We start from the raw sequence: 22,175 nt of genomic DNA on the forward strand, positions 1-22,175 counted from the left end.
TGGCCCATGGTTGAATTTCTTATAACTAGGAAAGCAGATGATTAAACTTTGGTGCAAGGGTCACATATGTATTTCCTTTCTTTTCTTTTTTTGTCATTTTTTCTTTTGAGACAGAATTTCACTCTTTTTGTCCAGGCTGGAGTGCAGTAGCACAATCACAGCTCACTGCAGCCTCAAACTCCTGGGTTCAAATGATCCTCCTGCCTTAACCTCCCAAGAGGCTAGGAATACAGGTGCATGCCACCACATCCAGCTAATTTCAATTTTTTTTTTTTTTGTAGAGACAGGGTCTTGCTATGTTGCTTAGGCTGGTCTTGAACTTCTGGCCTTAAGTGATGCTCCTGCCTCGCCTCTGAAAGCATTGAAATTGTAGACATGAGACACTGTGCCTGACTCCCCATGTGTATTTCAATATCTCTTTCTTTGTTCCTCTAATATCACCTACATAAAAGAAAGGTCAAGTCAACTTTTATTTCCCTGAATTTTGATTTAGAGTCAGCTCACTCAGAGTGTTTATGAATAATTCTGTTAGAAAAGATTTGATAATGCTAATCTGAATAATGAAATATCATGCAGAGTTCTAGATGTGGAGGTGCATTGTGAGTAGAAACCTCCTGTGAAATGAAGCAGCTGATTCTCCTTGTGATGCAAAGACTTACATTCTTTATTTCTGTTTTCAGGGAGGAGAGCACTGTTACTACCAGGGCCATATCCGAGGAAACCCTGACTCATTTGTTGCATTGTCAACATGCCACGGACTTCAGTAAGTGTTCAAAAAGTTATTTTTACTGTTTGTTTTTTCAATAATTTATTTTCTTTATTATGAATGCACTATAGTAGATATCCCTATTTTGTGTCAAGAAATGACTTTAAATTGGTGATGGATCTGATTTTTTTTTTCTCTTTTGTATTTTATAAACCAAGCAGATTTTTAAATTAGGGTTGCAAATGGTCGGGCGTGGTGGCTCATGCCTATAATCCCAGCACTTTGGGGGGGTCTAGGCAGGCAGATCACCTGAGGTCAGGAGTTCGAGACCAGCCCAGCCAACATGGTGAAACCCTGTCTCTACTAAAAATACAAAAATTAGCCGGGCATGGTGGCAGGTACCTGTAATCCCAGCTACTCGGGAGGCTGAGGCAGGAGAATCACTTGAACCTGCGAGGTGAAGGTTGCAGTGAGCCAAGACCATGCCACTGCACTCCAGCCTGTGGGATAGAGCGAGACTCTGATTCAAAAAAAATAAAGAAAGAAAGAAAGAAAGAAAGAAAAGTCCTACATTTTGCAAAAGAAAGAAAAAATATATATTGTCAAGAAAAAAGATAAGCATACTTTAAGGAGATGCTAGACTCCATCTCAAAAAAATTAAATAAAATTAGAGCTGCAGAAAACAGAGGCTTTTGAATTTCACAATGATACCTTAAAATGATATTTGAAGCATTTTTCTAGTTTCATCCAAATTCAGACAGGAGTGATTTGGGTTAACTTTGGTGTCTGTTTCTGTGGATGTTTAGCCCCTTGATATTCTTCCCTACTCCTTCTTTATATTAGTTTTTATATTTTTGTCAAATAATAGCAGTTTCAGTAAATGGAAACGCCTGACTCCTTACACAAAGAGAAAAGGCTGCTAGTGATCTCAAGAGCTCATATGTCTTTGCCCCTTTTTTTCAGCCTGAATCCCACCTAATTCATAGCAAATCTGTGGGAGGGTCTGTCGTTTCTCAGAGATCTCCGAGGAACAAAGTTCATCCTTCCTCAAGGCCTTGCTTCCTTTCTCATAACCTTCTCTATCAAATAATGTTTGCTGATGTTTAACATGGGAATACATCCACTTCCTCCATCCTGTCGATAATGATAATGCACAGGTGGTTGTTTCTTACTTGTTTTGTAACCCCTTATAAAGCTACCGTGTCATTCCTCAGCATTCTCTTTTAACTAAATCGTTTCATTTCCTTCTTGTTTGTTTTACTTTTTGGCACAGAACAATCCAGCACTTTAATTTTGTTAAATTTTCGTTGAGAAACTTTAAAATAATTCCTTTTTGTTACCATCTTAGAGATGTGGCTTTTCATCTAACAAGCAGTTACTGGGTGTCTCCTGTGTGCCAGCCCTAGGAATATTAAGGCGATTGAAACACAAGTCCTGGGAGCTCACAGTCTCATGAGGAGGCCAAATCTAGCCCATTTCCTGATGTGGAACATGATAGGTATATTTGCTTTTTTTTTGAGAGAGAGAGAGGAAAAAAAAAAAAACAAAACTGGGAAAAATGCAAGCTAAGCATTGTCACCGAAGAACAGGTGGCACCTAAGGGCTCTGGAAACATGCCACCTGAAGACAGTGGAGTGCAATAGGTTGGAATAGCCTATCCAAGGGAGAGGGTTACACTGACAGATCTTAAATCTAGGAAAGAGAGCTAATGGACACGGCCAGAAAATCTAGCTAGTCTGCCTGAGTGACACCTCTGGTCAGGATCTGGGAATAAGCATATTAGGCAGAAAGGAAAGAATATAAGTGTAAGTTAAATAACCAGAGACAGGAGGCCATGTGTCTGAGAGCATGGAAGACTTCCATTTCCTTGTTTGTGCTAAAAGACTACTGTGAATAAAGGTGTACATTTATTTACTTTAAATACATTATTTGAAGAAAGAGGTTTTTACAAACATGGAATCCATGCTTAATATCAGACAGTCTCTGTTTTCTTATTAGGAAAAAGAAACATTGAAGTCCTTTTCAGCAGTAAAATTGTTACATCTGAGCTCAAGACAAGCACATCTGTCACCTAGGAATAGTACAGTGAGACCTGTTCACATTTGTGACAGCAAGTGTATATTGGGGGTAAAAAATGAAGTGTTTTTTTTCCCCTTTTCTCTCTCTTAAAATCTCAATCCAAAGTCCTAGTGTCAGCATCTTTCTCAGTACTCGTTCCAGTCTGCCTTCTGGTTTTCCAAATGGACTCAATGTTGTGAGAATCAGAGAGAAGATATTTGTGCCTTCTAAGGGCTATAAATGGACCTGAGAACCTAAGAATGATACCTGTTACTAATCCTACTATAGTCTTGTAAAGAAGGATTGAAAAATAACTTTTAGGCCGGGCACGGTGGCTCACCCCTGTAATCCCAGGCATGAGCCACCATGCCCACTTTTCTTTTTTCTTTTCTTTTCTTTTTTTTCTTTTCTCTTCTCTTTTCTTTTTCTTTTCTTTTGTTCTTTCATTCATTCGTTCATTTGTTCGTTCGTTCATTCATTCTTTCTTTTGTTCATTCTTTTCTGTCAGAGTCTCACTCTGTCCCACAGGCTGAAGTGCAGTGGTATGATCTCAGCTCGCTGCAGCCTCCGCCTCCCAGGTTCAAGCCATTCTTGTGCCTCAGCCTCCTGAGTAGCTGGGATTACAGGTGGCTGCCAGCATGCCCATCTAATTTTTGTATTTTCAGTAGAGACGGGGTTTTGCCATGTTGGCCAGGTTGGTCTCGAACTCCTGACCTCGTGATCCGCCCACCTCAGCCTCCCAAAGTGCTGAGATTACAGGGTTATTTTAATTAAGTAAATTTTATATCTCCTTTTAAGAATGTTTTTATTTAAAACTAAATAAAAATAAACAGAAAACCTATCGTGTGTCTTGGAACATTGTCAGAATTGTGTATGACCATTTTAGGCTTTCTTAGACTTTTATGAGCACATAGGATAAATATAACCTTGTATCATCTTGTTGTTTAGTAATTATTGCTTCTCATCTTGACTTTACTTTCTGGAAGAAATGTTTTGGGGGGATGTTATGAAATATTGAATAATGTATGTTGTCCCAATTACAGTGGTTTAGATATGAGATATATTATGTCATCCATGACTCATCCTTTATAAATTACCAAGTGCGTACTGTTTTTTTTTTCATTTTTGATTTATTAAATTCAGTTCAATAATATAAATAAGGGAAAATCAGATTCGTATATCTTTCCCATAAAGAACCTGCAAGGTCACATTTGTTTGGAGTCAAAGGACTAATAGGCAATGTTTTGATCTTGGTGTGTTTGGTGTTAATGCAAAAATCTTGTTACTGTGGGAACCTTAAAGCACGGAGTTAAGTTTGAGTTTATTGCCCTCTTGTGGAAATTTGTAAGAATGGCTTTTTCATTTCAAAATCTTATTTTGATACAACCTTTTGAAATTTTAGCTCAATTGGTCTGTGACGACTTGGTCTTAGCTATAGGTTTTTATCAAGTATACTGTTATGGACTCAATATAAAAATTAGGATTTATATAAGTAAAACAAAAATATTTCAGTTCTCAAAGCATATAAAACACATGTATTTTTTCATTATTAAGGAATTAATAATGGCATATTATCATATAGCAATCTAGAGTCTTCTGAGATACAGATAGTGTCAGAATCTGTTGTCTTCATATTGCCTACATGATGTTTAAGTCCAATAAAAAAATGACTTTCTCATTGGACATTAACCTAGTATAAGGATAAATAACACTCAGTACTATTTTAAGAAAATAATCTGCTTGCTACTTTGTTGGTGTTGCCACGTGAATTTTGGCAAACTATGATGGTTTCATATGACTTTCTGGATGGATATGGCTAGTTCTCAGCAAGGGTAGAGAGATACTCCCTGCCATATTTGGTCTACGTTTTTGAAAGGCTCCCCCTCTGACTCCTTGGGCACATATTGTCAGTAATGTCTTACAAACTGCATCTGTTTATGTTTAAATTCCAAATAGAATGTCATCCAAATTCAGAAAGTACATGTGGCTGAAAACAGTGCAGCTGTGAGAATAATCATTCTGTGAGTATATAGAAGTTGAGGACATGTGGAAGATGTTATAGCAGGAATGAAAGAATTTGGATAGAGGCAGAACTTGGAGGCCATTATAATTATAGCTCATGGAATTTCACCAATTTCACTAAATCTTCAATGAAAGACAAATACTAGTTTATGTTTAGGAGCTTGGCTGTCACATAATCATTTCTACCAAAAACTAAAAAATTACTACAGCTCATAGCTTTGCTACCCTCAGATGCCTGAATGATAAGACAAGTTTCTTTAACATCATAAAGGGCCTGATCTCAGTAAAAGGATCATGTTCTTCTAAAAGCAGCAGCTATCAGAATCTGTCTGAGTGGGAGCTGAGGCCATTTGTATATTGAAGTGCTCTCCAGAGGATTTCTCAGATGGCTGGTAGCCACCCCCAGCCTACGAGGTCCAAAATGGAATTTTTTATTTTTAAAGAAATATAGGGTCTTGCTCTGTCACCCAGGCTGGAGTACAGTGGCACAATCATCAATCACTGCAGCCTTGAACTCTTGGGTTCAGGTGATCCTCCCACCTCAGCCTCCCAAGTAGCTGGGACTACAGGTGTGTGCATCACCAGGCCCAGCTAACTTTTTAAAAATTTTTTGTAGAGAGAGAGTCTTGCCACTCACTACGTTGCCCAGGCTGGTCTCAAACTCCTGGCCTCATGTGATTTCCCCCCGCCTTGGCCTTCCAAAGTGTTGGGATTCCAGATGTGAGCCCCATGCCCAGCTCAAAACTGAACTCTTAAAGGATTTGCATCCTTCCCTCTGCTTCCTGCTTCCCTAGGCCCATCCCGAAAAGTTCTTTCTGCATCCCCCCTGCCTGCCCTCTTTTTTTTTTTTTTTTTTTTTTTTTTGAGACAGGGTCTCACTCCATTACCTCTTTTTTTATCTTGTTAAATGACATGTCCATTTTTCCAGTTGCTCAGGTCAAAACTTGGAGTCTTCACTAACTCTTCTCTGTTTTACGTACTTTGTTTCAAATCCATCAGTAAATCCTACTGGTTGTACCTTCAAAATATATCTGGAATTTGACCAGTTCTCACCACCTCTACTATTACTGCTCTGATCTAAGCCAGCATCTTCTTTCGCCTGGATTATTGCAGTAACTTCCCTGCTTCTATCCTTGCTGTGCTAAAAATTATTGTAACATAGTATCTGGCATGATCATTATAAAACTTAAGAAAGATTGTATTTCCCATCTGCTTAGAACTTTGCAGTGGCTCTTCATCTCTCTTAGAGTAAAAGCCAAGGCCCTAGGAAGTGCCCACCTAGTATGGCCCCCAAGACCCTCTGGCACCATTTATTGCCCTTCACCTGATTATTTTCTTCCCTAGAACTTATCACTGTCATATGTATGTGTATGTGTGTGTGTATATATATATATAATATATATATTATAAATAAATAAATAAATATATATATATATATATATATATATATATATATATAGTAAGTCCTAGAATACTTATGAGCACCACAAGGACAGAGAATTGGTCTGTTTTGTTTGCTATTGTATCCCCAGCACCTAGAACAGTGCATTGTAGGTGCTCTGTAAACACGCTGATTGAATGAAGGAATGCATGAATGGAGGTAGGTAGCAGGTTGCAAATGGGCAGTTCGTGGTCCCATCTGTCTGGGCTCTGTTCCTATTTCTGCTCTTACTGGTTAAATAATTTGGCAAGTTACTTTATCTCTTTGGGTTTCAGTTTCCTTACTTATAAAATAAGGATAGTCGTTGTACTTCTCTTGTAGATTTGTGGAAAAGATTAAATGAGTGTAAAGTATTTAGCTTGTGGCAAGTTGTTCAAATGTGTTAGCTCTTGTTACTAGAGCATCTTCCATGTTTATGGTAGGTCGGGCGTTCTCAGTATAGTCCCTGAAAACCTGCATCAGGATCACCTGGAGCTTATTTAAAATGCAATTTCCTGGGTTCCAGTCCATAAATCTGAGGAGAGTCCTGAAAGAGCTGCGTTTTTACTAGCTCTCCAGATGACTTTTTGCATATGAAAATCTTGGAATTCTATGTTAGAGGAAGAAGTGATGGGCAACAGCTAGAGCATGGCAATCCTGAGCATGGGGTCAGGTGAGGATGAGGTGACTCTACCTATAAGGAATCAGAAGGAGGGGCCTTCCCTCTCAGTGGTGTGTGTGGTGTGTCTGGAGGTGATGGATGGGACTGGGAAATGGGCATTGAGAAGCAAATGGGCCCTCTGGCTGCTGCTGATTTTAAAATGATCTTGTTCTGGGATGAGAGTCGATGGCCATGCCTAATTATTTTTTTGTCGTTGGCAGTGGGATGTTCTATGACGGGAACCACACATATCTCATTGAGCCAGAAGAAAATGACACTACTCAAGTAAGTGCTCCTTCTGTTTGTTGTGGCAAATGGAAATGTTTATGCTGAGAGCTTTTTTCCTCTCCTTTTTTTATCTCTACTTTATTTCATTTTTATATTTTTTAGGGTTAAGATAGTAAACATATGTACAGATGCTCCTCAACTTATGATGGGTCTATGTCCTGATAAACCTATCATAAGTTAAAATATTATAAGTAAAAAACGTATTTAATACCCTGATAAATGCATCATAAAGTCAAAAACATGTATGTTGGGGACTGTCTGTATATTTTAAACTAAATATTGAGTAAGTCAAAACCACAAGTGTTTTTTAAAAAATTTCTTGCCAGGTGTGGTGGCTCATGCCTGTAATCCCAGCACTATTGGAGGCAGAGGTGGGCATGAGGTCAGGAGTTAGAGACCAGCCTGGCCAACTTGGTGAAACCCCGTCTCTACTAAAATACAAAAATTAGCCAGGTGTGGTGGCATGCGCCTGTAATCCCAGCTACTTGGGAAGTTAAGGCAGAAGTATTGCTTGAACCTCCTGCCACTGCGCTCCAGCCTGGGTGACAGAATGAGACTCCGTCTCCAAAACAAACAAACAAACAAACAAAAAATTTCTTTTGTTTCTTTCTCTTTTATATTGGAAATATAATACTTTCCCTTTGAGGTGTTCTGAAATCTCTATTTCCATCTCAACCCTAATGTGTTATGATCTGTCTTAGTTTGACTTGGCTACCATAACAAAATACTGTAGACTGGGTGGCTTAAACAACAGAAACTTTATCTCAGTTCTGGGCACTGAAAGTCCAAGGTGCCATCAGGGTTGACATCTGGTGAGGGCTCTTTGCTTGAGTTGCAGATGGCTGCCTTCTCACTGTGTTCTCACATGGCAGAGAGAGAGAGAGAGAACTCTGGTTGTCTCCACTTGTTATAAGGGTACCAGCTATACTGAATAAGGATCTCACCCTTATGACCTCATTTAACATTTATCACTTCCTCACAGGCCTTATCTCCAGACAAAATTACCCTGGGTGCCAGGGCCTCAATATGAGAAGTCTGGGGACACACACACATTCAGTCCACAACAAATCAAATCCACAGAGCTGTGATTTTTCACCCCTCCTCTCTTTTCTAGATTCCAGATTTTTCTCTATTGTCTATTGCTTTTAAGGCTCTATGCTGATGAAGTTTAGAGAAACCTGAGTCATCTTAATCCTGTCTCTCACTTTAGCTGAAACATTCATTTCCCACAAATTAGAAGAAGTTGAATTAATATTATAGACTACACAGAAACATAATACACTTTCATTCTAGCTCTGTACATACAAATGTTCTTCCTCGTATTACACAACATTGCTTAAGCAGAGAGGCAAATTCTTCCAAGAAACATGCATGGCTTTGTCACCCATAAACCATCTTGTTTGGGAAATTCTCTGTATTGTGTATTATTTTATGGGTACCCACTGCTGCCTGTCTTGTCACTTTGCTTGACAGTATGATTTTTTTAAGATAATATGAAACCGGACTATGACATTCTAATTTTTTTTTTTAGTAATTGGATGAAGCCAGATGAAATTATATTTGAGTGTTTATTAACTTTTTAGAAGAAAAATGTGACTTTTTATCTCTTGCTTTTTCATATAGCTTGTATGACACTTGAATTTCAGAACAGGGTCCACTTTGGACATTTACTTATACCAGGCATCCTGCTCCCCAATACTATGAAGATTGTTAGCTCTGTAGTCTGCCTACCAAAGCTCTCTGACTTTTAAAAGGGTGCAGGGATCCGTGAAAGGAATCAGTAATAAAAAAACATTAAGTCATTTTGCCAAATGTCTTATTTGTCCTTGGGGGAATAGATTCATTCATTTGTTTTCCATTACTGTAGGCTTTGGCTTCTCTGTGAAGGCATTTTTCTTCTCATTGGATGTTGCTCTGGTGCTGAGAGAATACAGGAGAGAATAGGAGGGGTTGGGCAATGGTTCATCACCTCTCTAAACCCAGGAGAATGCATAGGCAAGCTGTGGTTCTTTTAAGGGTCTCCAGCTATGTTTGCCTAAGGCTGGAGATAATCCTGTTGTACATGCTTAATCACTGTTGCTTGTGTCATTTCAGGAGGATTTCCATTTTCATTCAGTTTACAAATCCAGACTGTTTGAATTTTCCTTGGATGATCTTCCATCTGGTATGATGTTCATATAGTGACTTTTTATCTAAAAGACAACTTCAGTAATTTATTTAATGCCTTAGAACTAATCTATATTTGGAATATCATTAGCCCACATCTGCTTTTGACATTTTTAGAGGGAGAGCCAAGTCACGTCAAGAGGGAGAATAAAATGCAAACTGTCCTCACAGATGAGTTTGGAAAGATGTGGAGGAAAACTTTAAAAAATTTTAAAATTAAAAATAAGGCACTAAAGGAGAAACAAGATTAGAGCAAGAATTGGTCTGTGAGACAAAGTACATACAAATTCACTCTTTGTGAAATACTGGTCTTGTAAACATAGGGATGAACTCTTAATCATTTCCCTATTTATTGTTTTCCTTGTCTCTTTTTTGCTCTAGCATTTTAAGAAAGAACTATTATGGGTTAACTTTTATTATCATTATGTGTTATTTGTGAAATTAGTCATTTCTTCTCATCTATACCTAAATGGATCTAGGTTAATTTTAAGAGTGTTTGTCTCCCAAGATTACTTATGATTTACTATAATAAGTTAGAAGAAAACAAGAAATAGACAAATGTCAAAAATACAAATTTAGTGAAATATTTTCAAAAGTAAGCTAATTTATTTTAGGTTGAATAAATGGACCTAGCAACCTATGTTGCTTTGAGAGTCGCTTCCAAGTCTTCACATGACAGGAAGGGCAGTGCATGCATACTTTGCCCTCCTTAGTGGAGCAGTGATTATGCAGGGTGAGTTAGCGTTTGTCTTTGGCTGTGCTGGACTCATTTGTTTTCTTCTGAAGACAGACAGCACACTGAATATCTTTATTCAGAAGATATCTGGATATCTGGTATGGAGATGCTTCCTCCACTATTTAGTGAGCCTTATTTTAATTTTTTTTTTTTTTTTTTGAGACAAAGTCTTGCTCTATCGCCCAGGCTGGAATGCAGTGACGCGACCTCAGCTCACTGCAACCTCCGCCTCCTGGGTTCAGGCAATTCTTCTGCCTCAGCCTCCCAAGTAGCTGGGACCACAGGCACACACCATTACGCCTGGCTAATTTTTGTATTTTTAGTAGAGACAGGGGTTTCGCCATATTGGGTAGGCTGGTCTCGAACTCCTGACCTTGTGATCCACCTGCCTCGGCCTCCCAAAGTGCTGGGTTTACAGGCGTGAGCCACTGTGCCCGGCCTGATTATTTTAATTTTTAATCTCGTTTTAATCTTTGCAGCAGCCCTGTAAGATTAATGTTATTCCCGGTTTGTAGATGAAGAAACAGAGCTCAGCTAGTTTGTCTTTTCCAGGGTCCCACAGCTAGCAAGGGGTAAAGTTGAGTTTTGAATTATGACACTATGGTAGAGAAGCACAGAGGGAAACGGAGTAATCCTAAACTAATGCTTAGATAATCACTTAGAAGTTTACATTGTCTCTTCATCAGAAAATAAATGTTTCCTAATGTTCCTTTCTCTCTAAATGAAGTTTGTAACTCCTTGTCCTCCTGTAATTTTCCTAAAGAGAAATGAACATTCTCTCCCCTTCTCTCCTGCTGCCAGAGGGATAGAAGATTTAATAGAATTTACTATTTTGAAAAATCTTCAAATGGGAATATAGATGCTCTTACCTCTCACAGACTTTTTAGACTGTTCTTTCAGTGATCTTATAAAACTTTTTAAAATCCCTATTCTGATAAGAAAATAAGTCATGACTAGCTGTGTGGGAATAAAGCTATAATTTAATGGGTATTACTGGGAGCAGTCAACATTAATTAATATTTAAAGTAATAAATAAAGATTTTTCCCTAAAGACTTGACTGTAGGCTTGCTAGGATATAACCTTATATATCTATCTATCTATCTATATATATATATATCTTTTTTTTTTTTGAGAAAATCATTCAGGGTTTCTTTCCAGCAGAAACTTTGATGGTGACTTGGCAGTTTTGCTGTTATTAAAATGATTTTTAGACACATTCTTTAAAAACTCAGGTCTGTTTCAATCAGTTTCTAGTTTTCTTTTCTCATCAGAAGTTGGCACTGTCAATTTTGAGAGAGTTTGTCTCCCAACATTACTTATGATTTACTGTGATAAATGAGAAGAAAACAAGAAATGGACAAATAAATGTCAAAACTGCAATTTCTGTGAAACAGTTTCAAAAGTAAGTTTAATTATTATAGATTACATAAAGTTTAACTGGGTTGTAGATTATCAACATCATCATCTTGTTATGTTTTATATATTTCCCAGCGATAGACATAGGATCAGCTGTTCCCCAAACTTGCTGGACTGTGGAACATTTGCTTTACATGGCATGTACCTGTCTCAGGACTAGTGTTTCTGAGAACATATTCTGGGAAAATCTTATTTCCTGTGGACACTTATGCACCCAGTTAAAAAAATATGCAATGAAATATAAAAGTCTTGTGTACCATTCAATGACTTTTTACATACCTACACTCTTGTTGAGAGATAGAGCATGTCCATTACCCCAATAACTTCCTTTGTACTCTTTGTAGTCAGTGCCTCCCACCTCTGCCATTCCTTTTGTCTGTTGTAGAACTTTATACAGATGGAATCATGTACTATGTGCAGCTTCTTTTGTTTAGCACATGCCTGTGAGGTTTATGTTGTCAAGAGTAGCAATAGTTCATTCTTTTAAATTATTGAATATGTTGTGTCCTATGAATATACCACTTTTTTCAGGGGTGGGGGATGGGGTCTTGCTGTGTTGCCCAGGCTGGAGTGCAATAGTGCGATCTCGGCTCACTGCAGCCTCTGCCCCCTGGGTTCAAGCAGTTCTCCTGCCTCAGGCTCCCGAGTAGCTGGGACTACAGGCATGCACTATCATGCCTGGCTAATTTTTGTATTTTTAGTAGAGACAGGGTTTCACCATGTTGGTCAGGCTGGTCTCAAATTCCTGACCTCAAGTGATCCACCCGCCTTGGCCTCCCAGAGTGCTGGGATTACTGGCATGAGCCACTGCGCCCGGCCTATAACACAATTTTTAACTTATTAAGTTGATGGACATTTAGGTTGTTTCCGGTTTTTGACTATTATGAGAAAAGCAACTATGCACGTTATTGTACAAGTCTTTTCTGTGAGCACATATTTTCATTTCTTCCAGTAAATACCTAGGAATAAAATTGCTGGGCCATAGGGTAGGTACATGTTTAACTATGTTGACAGTGTCCTCAAACCTTAGCATGCATCAGAATCATCTGGAGGACTGGTAACCACAGATTGCTGGCCCCATCTTGAGAGTTTTAATTCAGTATATCTTGGGTGGGATTGGAGAATTTGTATTTCCAGTGCTTCCCAGGTGATGCTAATGCTGCTGGTGCTGGAATCACACTTTGAGAACCACTGTTTTTTTTTAATATATATATATTTTTTATTATACTTTAAGTTCTAGGGTACATGTGTACAACGTGCAGGTTTGTTACATATGTATACATGTGCCATGTTGGTGTGCTGCACCCATTAACTGGTCATTTACATTAGTTATATCTCCTAATGCTATCCCTCCCCCCTTCCCCCACCCCACAACAGGCCCTGGTGTGTGATGTTCCCCTTCCTGTGTCCAAGTGAGAACCACTGTTTTATGAGAAATTGCTGAACCCTTTTTCCAAAGTGGGTACACTCTTTTATATTTGTGTCAGCACTCTATGAGAGTTTTAATTGTTCCACATCTTGACCAACATTTGCTCTGTCATTCTTTAATTTTAGCTATTCTAGTGTATGTGGTGGTATCTCACTTTGGTTGAAATTTGCATTTTTCTTGTGATTAATGATGTGTAGTATATACTTACTCGCCACTAATCAGAATTTCTGTCTTTTTTGTTGTTAAGTTGTAGGAGTACTTACATATTCTAGATAGAAGGCCTTTGCCAAATATGCCTTATGAATATATTTTTCCCAGTCTTTGGCTTGCTCATTTACTTAATGGCATCTTATGATGAACAGATGTTTTAAATTTCATGAAGTTTAACATTAGTTTTTATCGTTATTGCTTTCTCTATGCTAAGTAATTTTTGCTAGCTCCCAAGTTTTGAAGATATTCTCTAGTGTTTTCTTCTAAAAACTCTATAGTTTTATTTTTTATGTTTAGATCTAGGATCCTCTTCAAATTACTTTTTGTGCATGGTGAAAAGTAGGGGTTAAGTTTTATTTTATTATTTTGTATGTGGATACACAATTATTTTAATACCATTTGTTGAAAACAGTTTCCTTTCATCAATGAATTGTTTTGATGTCTTTGTTAAAAAGTATTAAAAGTATGAATATGAGTCTATTTCTTGACTCTTATTTTATTTGGCTACCCTTATCACACTTTGTTTTGCTTACTGTGGCTTTATATAAGTTTTGAAATCAAATAACGTAAATCCTCCAATTCTGGTTTTTCCAAAAATTTTTGGCTATTCTGGGCCCTTCACATTTCCCTACAGATTTTAGAACCTGCTTGTCAATTTCTATAATTCTGGGATTTTTATTAGAATTGTATTAAAAGTATGGGTTAATGGGGGAAAACAGCATATTATTAGTAGTGAGACTAAAATTTCTTTCAGTGTTTGGTCATTTTTAGTGTAGATATTGTATTATCTATTGCTGTATAAGAAATTACTCTAAAACTTAGTGGCTTTAATAAACAAATATTTATTACCTCATAATTTCTGAGAATCAGGAACCTGGGTGTGGTTTAGCTGGGTGCCTGTGGCCCACGGTGTCATGAGTTTGTAGCGTAACTGTCAGCTGGGACTACAGTTTCATTTGAAGGCTCAACTGGGAAGGATTAGCTTCTGAGCTCACTCACATAATTGTTGTCAGGCCTCAGTACCTCACCACATGGGCCTCTCCACAGGGCTGCCCCCCACCAACCTGGTAGCTAACTTGTTCCAGGAGATAGTGAGAGACCAAGAGAAGAGAGAATGAGACAGTATGCCTAAGACGGAAGCCACAGTCTTTTTGTTAACCTGATCTCAAAAGTAACATCTGATCACTTTTGCTGTATAGTATTTATTAGAAATGAGTCACAGAGTCCAGCCTTCTCTCAAGGGAATGAGATTATACAGTGTCATTGTATTAGTTATCTATTGCTGAGGAATTCATTTTTATTATGTACAGAAAAATTAGAAAGTAGCTGAGTAATAAATTACCACAAAATGCACCTCTTAAGACAATACACACTTATTATCTCACAGTTTCTGTGGATCAGGAGTCCAAGGATGGCTTAGATGGGTTCTCTGTTTCAGAGTCCCTTACAGGCTGCAGTCAAGGTGTTTTCTAGGACTGCATCTCATCTCAAGGCTCAACTGTGGAAGGATATGCAGTTGTCGTTGGCAGAATTCAGTTCTTCTTAGCCTCTTAGACCAAGGGCCTTGGTTTCTTGCTGGCTTTTGGCTGATGGTTGCTCTCTTTCTCACATAGGCCTCTCCATAGGGAAGCTCACAACACTAGTGCTCATGTAATGAAAGCCAGTAAGGAAGAGAGTCTCTAGCAAGATGAGTTACAATCTTGTATGATGTTATCTTGAGAAATGACAGTTCATCACCTTTGCTGTATTCCATTGGTTGGAAGCAAGTTACAGGTTTTACTCACACTCAGAGAGAGGGCATTACAAAAGGGCGTGAGTACCAGGAGGTGGAGACTATTAGAGGTCATCTTAAAGTCTGTCAAATTCTTCTCTTTGGCCCCCAGTAATTCCTGTCCCTTTTACCTGCAAAATACATTCTCTTCCTCCCTAGGTCTCTAAGCATTTCATCCCGTTATAGCATCTGCTCAAAGTCTGGAATCTCATTATCTAAATCAGATCCAGGTGTGGATGAGGGTTTTTGGGTGTAATTTCTCTTAGTCCTTCTGTGTGTAAAACTAAAGAGACAAGTTATCTGCCCTATGTAGTCCCAGGATCCAGTAATGGGCCAGCTATAGACATTCCCTTACAAAAGAGGGAAAATTCGAGAAACAAGAAAGACACTGACATTGCAGTTCTGAAATTCTGCTGGGCAAATGTTGACCCTTTCTTGACTGGGTTTCAAGGCCTAGAAATAATTCTCCATGACTCTTGGCTCTGTGTTCTCAACTCTTAATTCTGCTCATCCTTCCTTTTCCATGAAAGGTAGCACATATTTGCATCTGAGTAGTTTTATCAGTCTGCTATTCTAGTTTGCTAAGAGTTTTTATCAAGAATAGGTGTTGAATTTTGTCAAATGCTTTTCTATGTCTATTACGGGATCATATAATTTTCTCCTTTAATCTGTTAATGTGATGAATTGTATAAATTGATGTTTTGAATATGAAACTAATTTGCATTCTTAAATGGGCCCCAATTGGTTATGGTAGATTATATTTGTGTGTATTACTGGGTTTGATTTGCCTATGTTTTGTTAAGCATTTGTAAAATATAGGTTCAGAAAGCATATTGGACTGTAGTTTTCTTTTCTGGTTTTAGTACCAGGGTTTTACTGGTCTTATAAGATGTGTTAGGAAAAGTTTCCAAACTCTTTTTTTTTTCTAAGTTGGTGTAAAAGTGGTATTATTTCTTCCTTAAATCTTTGGTAGAATTCATCAGTGAAGCCATCTGGCCTTGTGGTTTTCTTGGAAAGTTTAATTAAGAATTAAAGTTATTTAATAGATACAGGATTATTCAGATTTTCTATATATACACACGTTCAAGGAATTTCATCTAAATTAACAAATTTATTGGCATAAAGCTCTTCATAATATCCTCGTATTATCTTTTTAGTATCTATAGAATCTGTAGTGATTTGCTTTCTTTATTGGTCAAGCCCTGCTGATCAATTTTATTGATTTTTGTGTTTAAGTTTTGAGTCTCACTTTTTTCTATTTGATTTGTGTTTAGTTTGCTCTTATTTTTCTGGGCTCTTAAGGTGGAAGATTAGATCATAATTTAAACTTTTTTTTTTCTTTTCTAACATAACCACTTAAAGCTATGCATTTCCCTTCAAGCACTAAATGCCTTACCTGCATCCCTTGTATTTTGCCTTGTCATATTTTTATTTACTTTAGGTCAAAACATTTTCTAAATTACCATGTGATTTCTTCTTTGTCCCATGGATTATTTAGAAATGTAGAGCTCAGTATCGAAATACTTGGTTATTTTTTTCCAAGCACCTTTTTATTATAGATTTTTTAATTTAATAGAATTGCAATAAGAGAAAATACTCTGTGTCATTTCATTTTCTTTAAATAAAATTTATTGGGACTTGTTTTATGATCTATCATAATGTCTGTCTTGGTGAATGTTTCATGTATTCTTGAAAAGGATATGTATTCTTCAATTATTGGGTAAAGTGTTAAAAATGCCAACTTAGTTAAATTGGTTGATAGTGTTAAGTCTTCTATATCCATATGATTCTGTTTACTTTTTTTTTCTTTCAATTACTGAGGGAGGATTGTTGAAATCCTTAACTATAACTTTGAATTTGTCTATTTCTCCTTTCAGGTCTGTCACTTTTTACTTCATGTATTTTAAAACTCTGTTATTAGGTGAATAAACATTTAGGAGCATTGTGTCTTTTTGATGAATCATCCCATTTATAATTAGGAAATAGTTTCCTTTCTCTCAGATACTTATTGTCCTGAAGTTACATTGTCTGATATTAATATTTCCTTCACAGTTCTCTTGTGATTAATGTTTGTAAGGTGTATCTTCTTCCATACTTTAAATTTAAAGTGCCCCTCTTCTAAACAGCATGCAGTTAAGTCTTGCATTAAAAAAAAAAAATCCAGTCTGGCAATCTTTGCCTTTTAGGCACAACATTTAGTCTATTTGCATTTAATGTAATTATTGATATGAGATGGGTTACTTTTGTAATCTTGTTTTTCTGTTTGTCCTATTAGTTAATTATAAAGGAGAACTTATTCCCTTTCTCAACAAATCCCTTGTATGCCCAGGCCATAGCATTCTGAAAAATGACATGATGGGAGAATATTTGAACATGAAATAAAGAGAGAACACTAATTTCCTTACCCGATTTTATTATTCAGCTTCTTGGTCACAAATTTCTCTGACCATGCTTATTTCTCCTTTATGAACAGTATCCAAAAATAATGGTAATGGTTCACCTTGAGTGTTTTATAGTATTATTTGTATAATAAGCCCCTTCAGGTTGCTCAACCATCAAAGTCTTAGGAAATCTGTACCCTGTGGAAAGATTGCAGCTTTCCTTTCACTTTGTAGAAAAATCCTCCCTTATAAATAACCTAATCTTATATTTGGAGATGAATCTATACGCATAAACAGTTGATGTATAATTTTCACATCTGCTACCAAGAGCAGATAAATCCTGAGATCAATTTGGTTATGGGCAAAGAAGAATATAAATTAATTGGAAAAAATTAGCTCAAAACTTTGGTGTCCTATAACAATTTCTTAATAAATTATGAACTTGGGAATGTGTGATTATTTATTCTACTTCTCATTGCTCCTCTTCTTTATTTTGCTGCCTCTAGAAGGTTAGTAATGGAGGTGAAAGTCAAGTTGGCTTTTTGGAAGATTTCCAGTAAATAAAGTAATGATATTTATAAGAGAAATATGAAAAATTTTCCAGATAAATTAGAACAGAAATAATGTTCTAGATTTTGCAAATTATATTCATCCTTTATATGTTTATTTAGTATTAATATACTACAGTTACTTAATGGTTTGTGTGATCGTTAAGTGCAACATTATGTATTATAAAATTCATAAGAAGGAAGGGCAGGTAAAACTTTGCCCTGTATTGAAGAAATCTGACAAATGCACTAAGTTAAATTAAATTTAATTTCCTTTTAGAATTTCAGCAAGTAAACATTACTCCATCAAAATTTATTTTGAAGCCAAGACCAAAAAGGAGTAAACGGCAGGTATGTATTCACAGTGGTGTGTCGTGTTATTTTAAAACAATTGTCAACTGCCAGTCATTTGAATCTACAGTAAGTCTGTGTGAGAGGGTGAGTATTAGTTTGGGAATTTGTCAGGGTGTGATAAACCGTAAGGGTGATGGATCTGAAGAAGCAGTAGAAAGGGGGCCATGTTGTTTCACAGATGCAAAAAGGATTCAAGATAGTGGTGATAATATGTTTCTTCATCATATTATGGGTTATGAGGCTCCTGCTTGTGGCACCTTGGGTTCTTTCTACCATAGGCTTCTTTCCTTGCCCAGATATGTACCACATCGTGGAATCCACTTGTATGGTTTATATCCTTGTATTTATTCCCTGGAAGATAACCCCTTAGGAATGAATCAATCAGGTTGTGAAGCCACAGAATGCTTTTGTCTCACTTGGGCAAAACTTTGGAGTCCAGGATATAAAATTAGGTCATGGACTTTATGATTGTTCGACTGGATCTTGGACTAGGTAATAATAACTGTTGATATGACGCTTTAAACCAAATGAAGTCGGTACTATTATTCCCCTTTCACTGAAAGAAAAATGATGACTCTGTGACATGTGAAAATGACTTACTCGAATCATAGAGCTGGTAAACAGTTTAGACAAAATTAAGAGTTGTGGCCATCAGAATCAAGATATCACCACTGTGGTGGTGTGGGCAGGAGAGATGGTTATTAAAAACACAAGATGAAGGGAATAGATCTCTAGTAAGATCAAGAAGTTGAAGGAACCAGGTATCTTCTTTTTATTACCTTGAAATAAAATATATGTTTACAGACAGATTTTTATTGTGAATAATTATTGCTAAATTTTATTGAATACTTACCTTGTACCTGGCCCTATTATAAGAATTTTAACTATATTAACACATTTAACCCTCAAAAACCTTAAGAGGAAGGTATTATCACAGGTTAAGTATCCCTTTTCCAAAATGCTTGGGACCGGAAGTTTTGCACATTTTGATTTATTTTTTGGCAGGGGGAGGATTTCAGAATATTTACATTATACTTAGTGTTTTAGCATCCCTAATTCAAAAATTAGAAATCTGAAATGCTCCAGTGAGCATTTCTTTTGAGTGTCCTATTGGTGCTCAAAAAGTTTTTCATTCTGGAGCATTTGGGATTTTGGATTTTCAGATGAGAGATACTTAACCTATAATATCCTCATTTTACTGATAAGGACATTGAGCATAAGAGGATCAAGAAACTTTCCCAAAGCCACATAGGGTGACTCTGTGGTAGAGCTGGGATTCTGACCTAGGAAGCCTGGTCTCAGAGAGGTGCTTATAACCGCATATACGCCATATATTGCCTCTCAGACCCATGTGTTCCATGAATTACTACTGTGACCTTTATAAGTGTTGTGAATGTTTATATATATATACTCATATATAAACATATGTGTGTGTATATATATATATATGAATAGGTAAAGACATACGTATCTTGAGGCCCAGTTAGATAAAATAATTACCATCAGGATTTAATGTGAAACAGTATTTTTTTGAATTATGGACTGAAAGAATAGGACAATATTCTTTTGACATGTACCCTGAAGTTCCTCATAAACATCTCAGCATCTAATCATTTGCTAAGTAGACAAAACCTTGATTTCTCTTTCTGAGAAAGCCATGGACCCATAGAGGTGAAGTACTATAAAACTGTGTGGCTAATATGGCAACTCTTTGACATTAACAAAATGTTGGGATTTGTTGAAAAATTTGCTGTATTAACTAGTCTCTCACAAGTAGCAAAGCAGCTCCTGTTGCCCTAAAAACACCCCCCTCCCTTAAAAAAGAAAAGAAGACTCTCATCATTGGATGCACTTTAGTGTTATTCTTTGGTTTCCAACCTCAGAATTGTATCTATTATTCCCTATCACCTTGGTGTTATAATAGTTTTTTTTTTTTAAGTTTTTAAGTTTAGGATTGCAGTTAGCAATGACAAAATCCATGTGGGAGCATTTTTAAAGTTGGTTTTAACTGCAACACTCAAAACAAACATATATGTATTGATTTAAGTTTGATTGTATACCCTTATCGCAAAAATGGACCTTGGGCAAGTGAGCAAAACGTTTTCTGGAAAAGTTTATATTGAACTATGGCATAAAGGAAAAAGCTAGCTTTACAAACCTTGTTAATGATTATATTATAGGCTAACTGTAGAGAACAAAGAGAATAGCTGCCTTAGTGGCTTTTCCTTAGTGGCTTTTCCCTGTAACTTTCATTGGTCATTATTTCGAAAGAGAAGAAAACTTGTTGGTGAGCAGAGAAAGCTAGCTGTAATAGATAACTCAAGACTGCCTGGGAGTTCTCAAAGCTATTCTAACAAAGACCCCATGTCATTTGGGGATCCCCTGAAACGTCCTAGATGAAGGCACATGACTCACTCCCAGTTTGGAGATTAAATAATAAAAGTGCCAATCACTCCAGTCCCTGTACCCTCTCGGAGATCCTCAGAGGACCTGAAATTAAACCCAAAAGAATGCTCTTCATATGTTACTATTTTCAAGATAGACTGTTAAATGAAAATCGCTGGAGGCAGAAAGGAGTGAAATAAACGGAAGTACAAAATAAAGGACATATTCACATTTAGTTTTATGTGCAGAAGTATTTTTGGAAGGAACCAGTAACTTGCTATATCCATTGTGGGGGAAGGACTAGGAACTGAGTAGGTGGAGAATAGAGGTGAGAGGAAGACATTCATCTTCTGCCCTTTTATACTTTTTAAATTTTCTGAGTCATGTAAATTTATTACCAACTCAGAAACTAAGCAAATTGATGAAAAATTTTTTAAATGCTGAAGGAATAAAAAGGGAAAATTTTGTTTTGTCAGTTTCTTCCATATTTTTTAGCTTTTCGCAGCCAAGTTTAGAGGGCTGAATTAGGTGCTGTTTCCTTTCCTGTGTTACAGCTTCGTCGATATCCTCGTAATGTAGAAGAAGAAACCAAATACATTGAACTGATGATTGTGAATGATCACCTTATGGTAGGATTTGCTGTTGTTTTTAAGCCTGTTTGTGCCTAGGGTAAAACTGGTGAGTGCAAAAATATGTTTAGAAAAAACAAGAAGCCCATCAAGTTGTAACCTGGAGAAGGTATTTGTATAATCAAATATATTTGTTAACTAGCAACAACCTGCAATTAGGAAATATTCATAGGTGGAAATAACTAGCAGTAACTTTTGAGTTTTCAAAAATACTTTGTGACTCATAGTATCAACTTTTGAGTTTGCTTGATTAGTAGAGGTACTAATATTTGAATCTCCACTTAATAAAATGACAAGGTTTAAAAAAATGGAAATTCCATTATATATTGAAAAAGTGAGGCACCAATTATGAGACATTTTAGTTCGCGGGGTACACCTTTATCTTAATAAAAGAAAAGCAGCTTTTCTATTTTGGTCTTACTGTGCAGAAATCATATGGAAATGCTTACATAGCTAACCATTTAGCTTAGGATGAAGTTTCTTAGGATAAGAACTTGACAAAACTTTCATGTTGTTGAATCAAATTATTTTGACCCATAGTGTTTATATTCAGTTAATGGGCATATTGCAGGCAGTATGACTACATTCATAGCACAGCAATGAGTTATAATGCTAATTGTTCTATGTAACCAAAGTTTTAAACTAAAAATGTTTAATGATGCATATTGCTGAATTTTACTTAAGTTCAGGTACAAGTGCATTTTAATTTACTTTGAACTACTTATTTGAGGAAAAAATGATCATTTATTTATGTATGATTAAATACATAATTTAGATCTTAATTATTACAGTTGCTAATAATAATAATAACAACACAATCAGGATTGAGTGCTGCTTCCTTGTTCAAGCTAGGTCTAAGTTTTATCTTTCCACCTATTTGAATCCAGTGAATGTTTCTGTTCCCTAGGATTTTTATAAAATAAGTTATAACAACATATATTTTGAACATTTTAGATCGTCACAAATTCAGATATCCATAGACATCAGTAGACAT

At 36.6% G+C, this 22,175-nt stretch overlaps 1 protein-coding gene across 32 annotated transcripts in view, besides 1 other annotated feature; it reads left to right on the plus strand.

Annotated features, from left to right (window-relative positions):
• Positions 1-22,175, plus strand: part of ADAM22 (ADAM metallopeptidase domain 22) — a 268,639-nt gene that overhangs the window by 173,245 nt on the left and 73,219 nt on the right. For 31 of the 32 annotated variants that reach the window (XM_017012330.3, NM_001391975.1, XM_017012335.3 and 28 more), the window contains 5 exons: positions 681-763; positions 7,089-7,152; positions 9,250-9,319; positions 18,094-18,164; positions 21,107-21,181. In XM_017012330.3, coding sequence (XP_016867819.1) covers positions 681-763; positions 7,089-7,152; positions 9,250-9,319; positions 18,094-18,164; positions 21,107-21,181 — 363 coding nt within the window. The remainder of the gene's footprint in view (positions 1-680; positions 764-7,088; positions 7,153-9,249; positions 9,320-18,093; positions 18,165-21,106; positions 21,182-22,175) is intronic. The other variant, NM_001391982.1, reaches the window with a different exon arrangement.
• Positions 7,936-8,115: an enhancer, noted in NCBI's record as "active region_26240". NCBI's record gives its function as "activates an Ori minimal core promoter by ATAC-STARR-seq in GM12878 lymphoblastoid cells {active_cell/tissue: GM12878}" and the evidence as "EXISTENCE:reporter gene assay evidence [ECO:0000049][PMID:35858748]".

This window comes from Homo sapiens, chromosome 7, assembly GCF_000001405.40.
Source record: "Homo sapiens chromosome 7, GRCh38.p14 Primary Assembly".
NCBI lineage: Eukaryota > Metazoa > Chordata > Mammalia > Primates > Hominidae > Homo > Homo sapiens.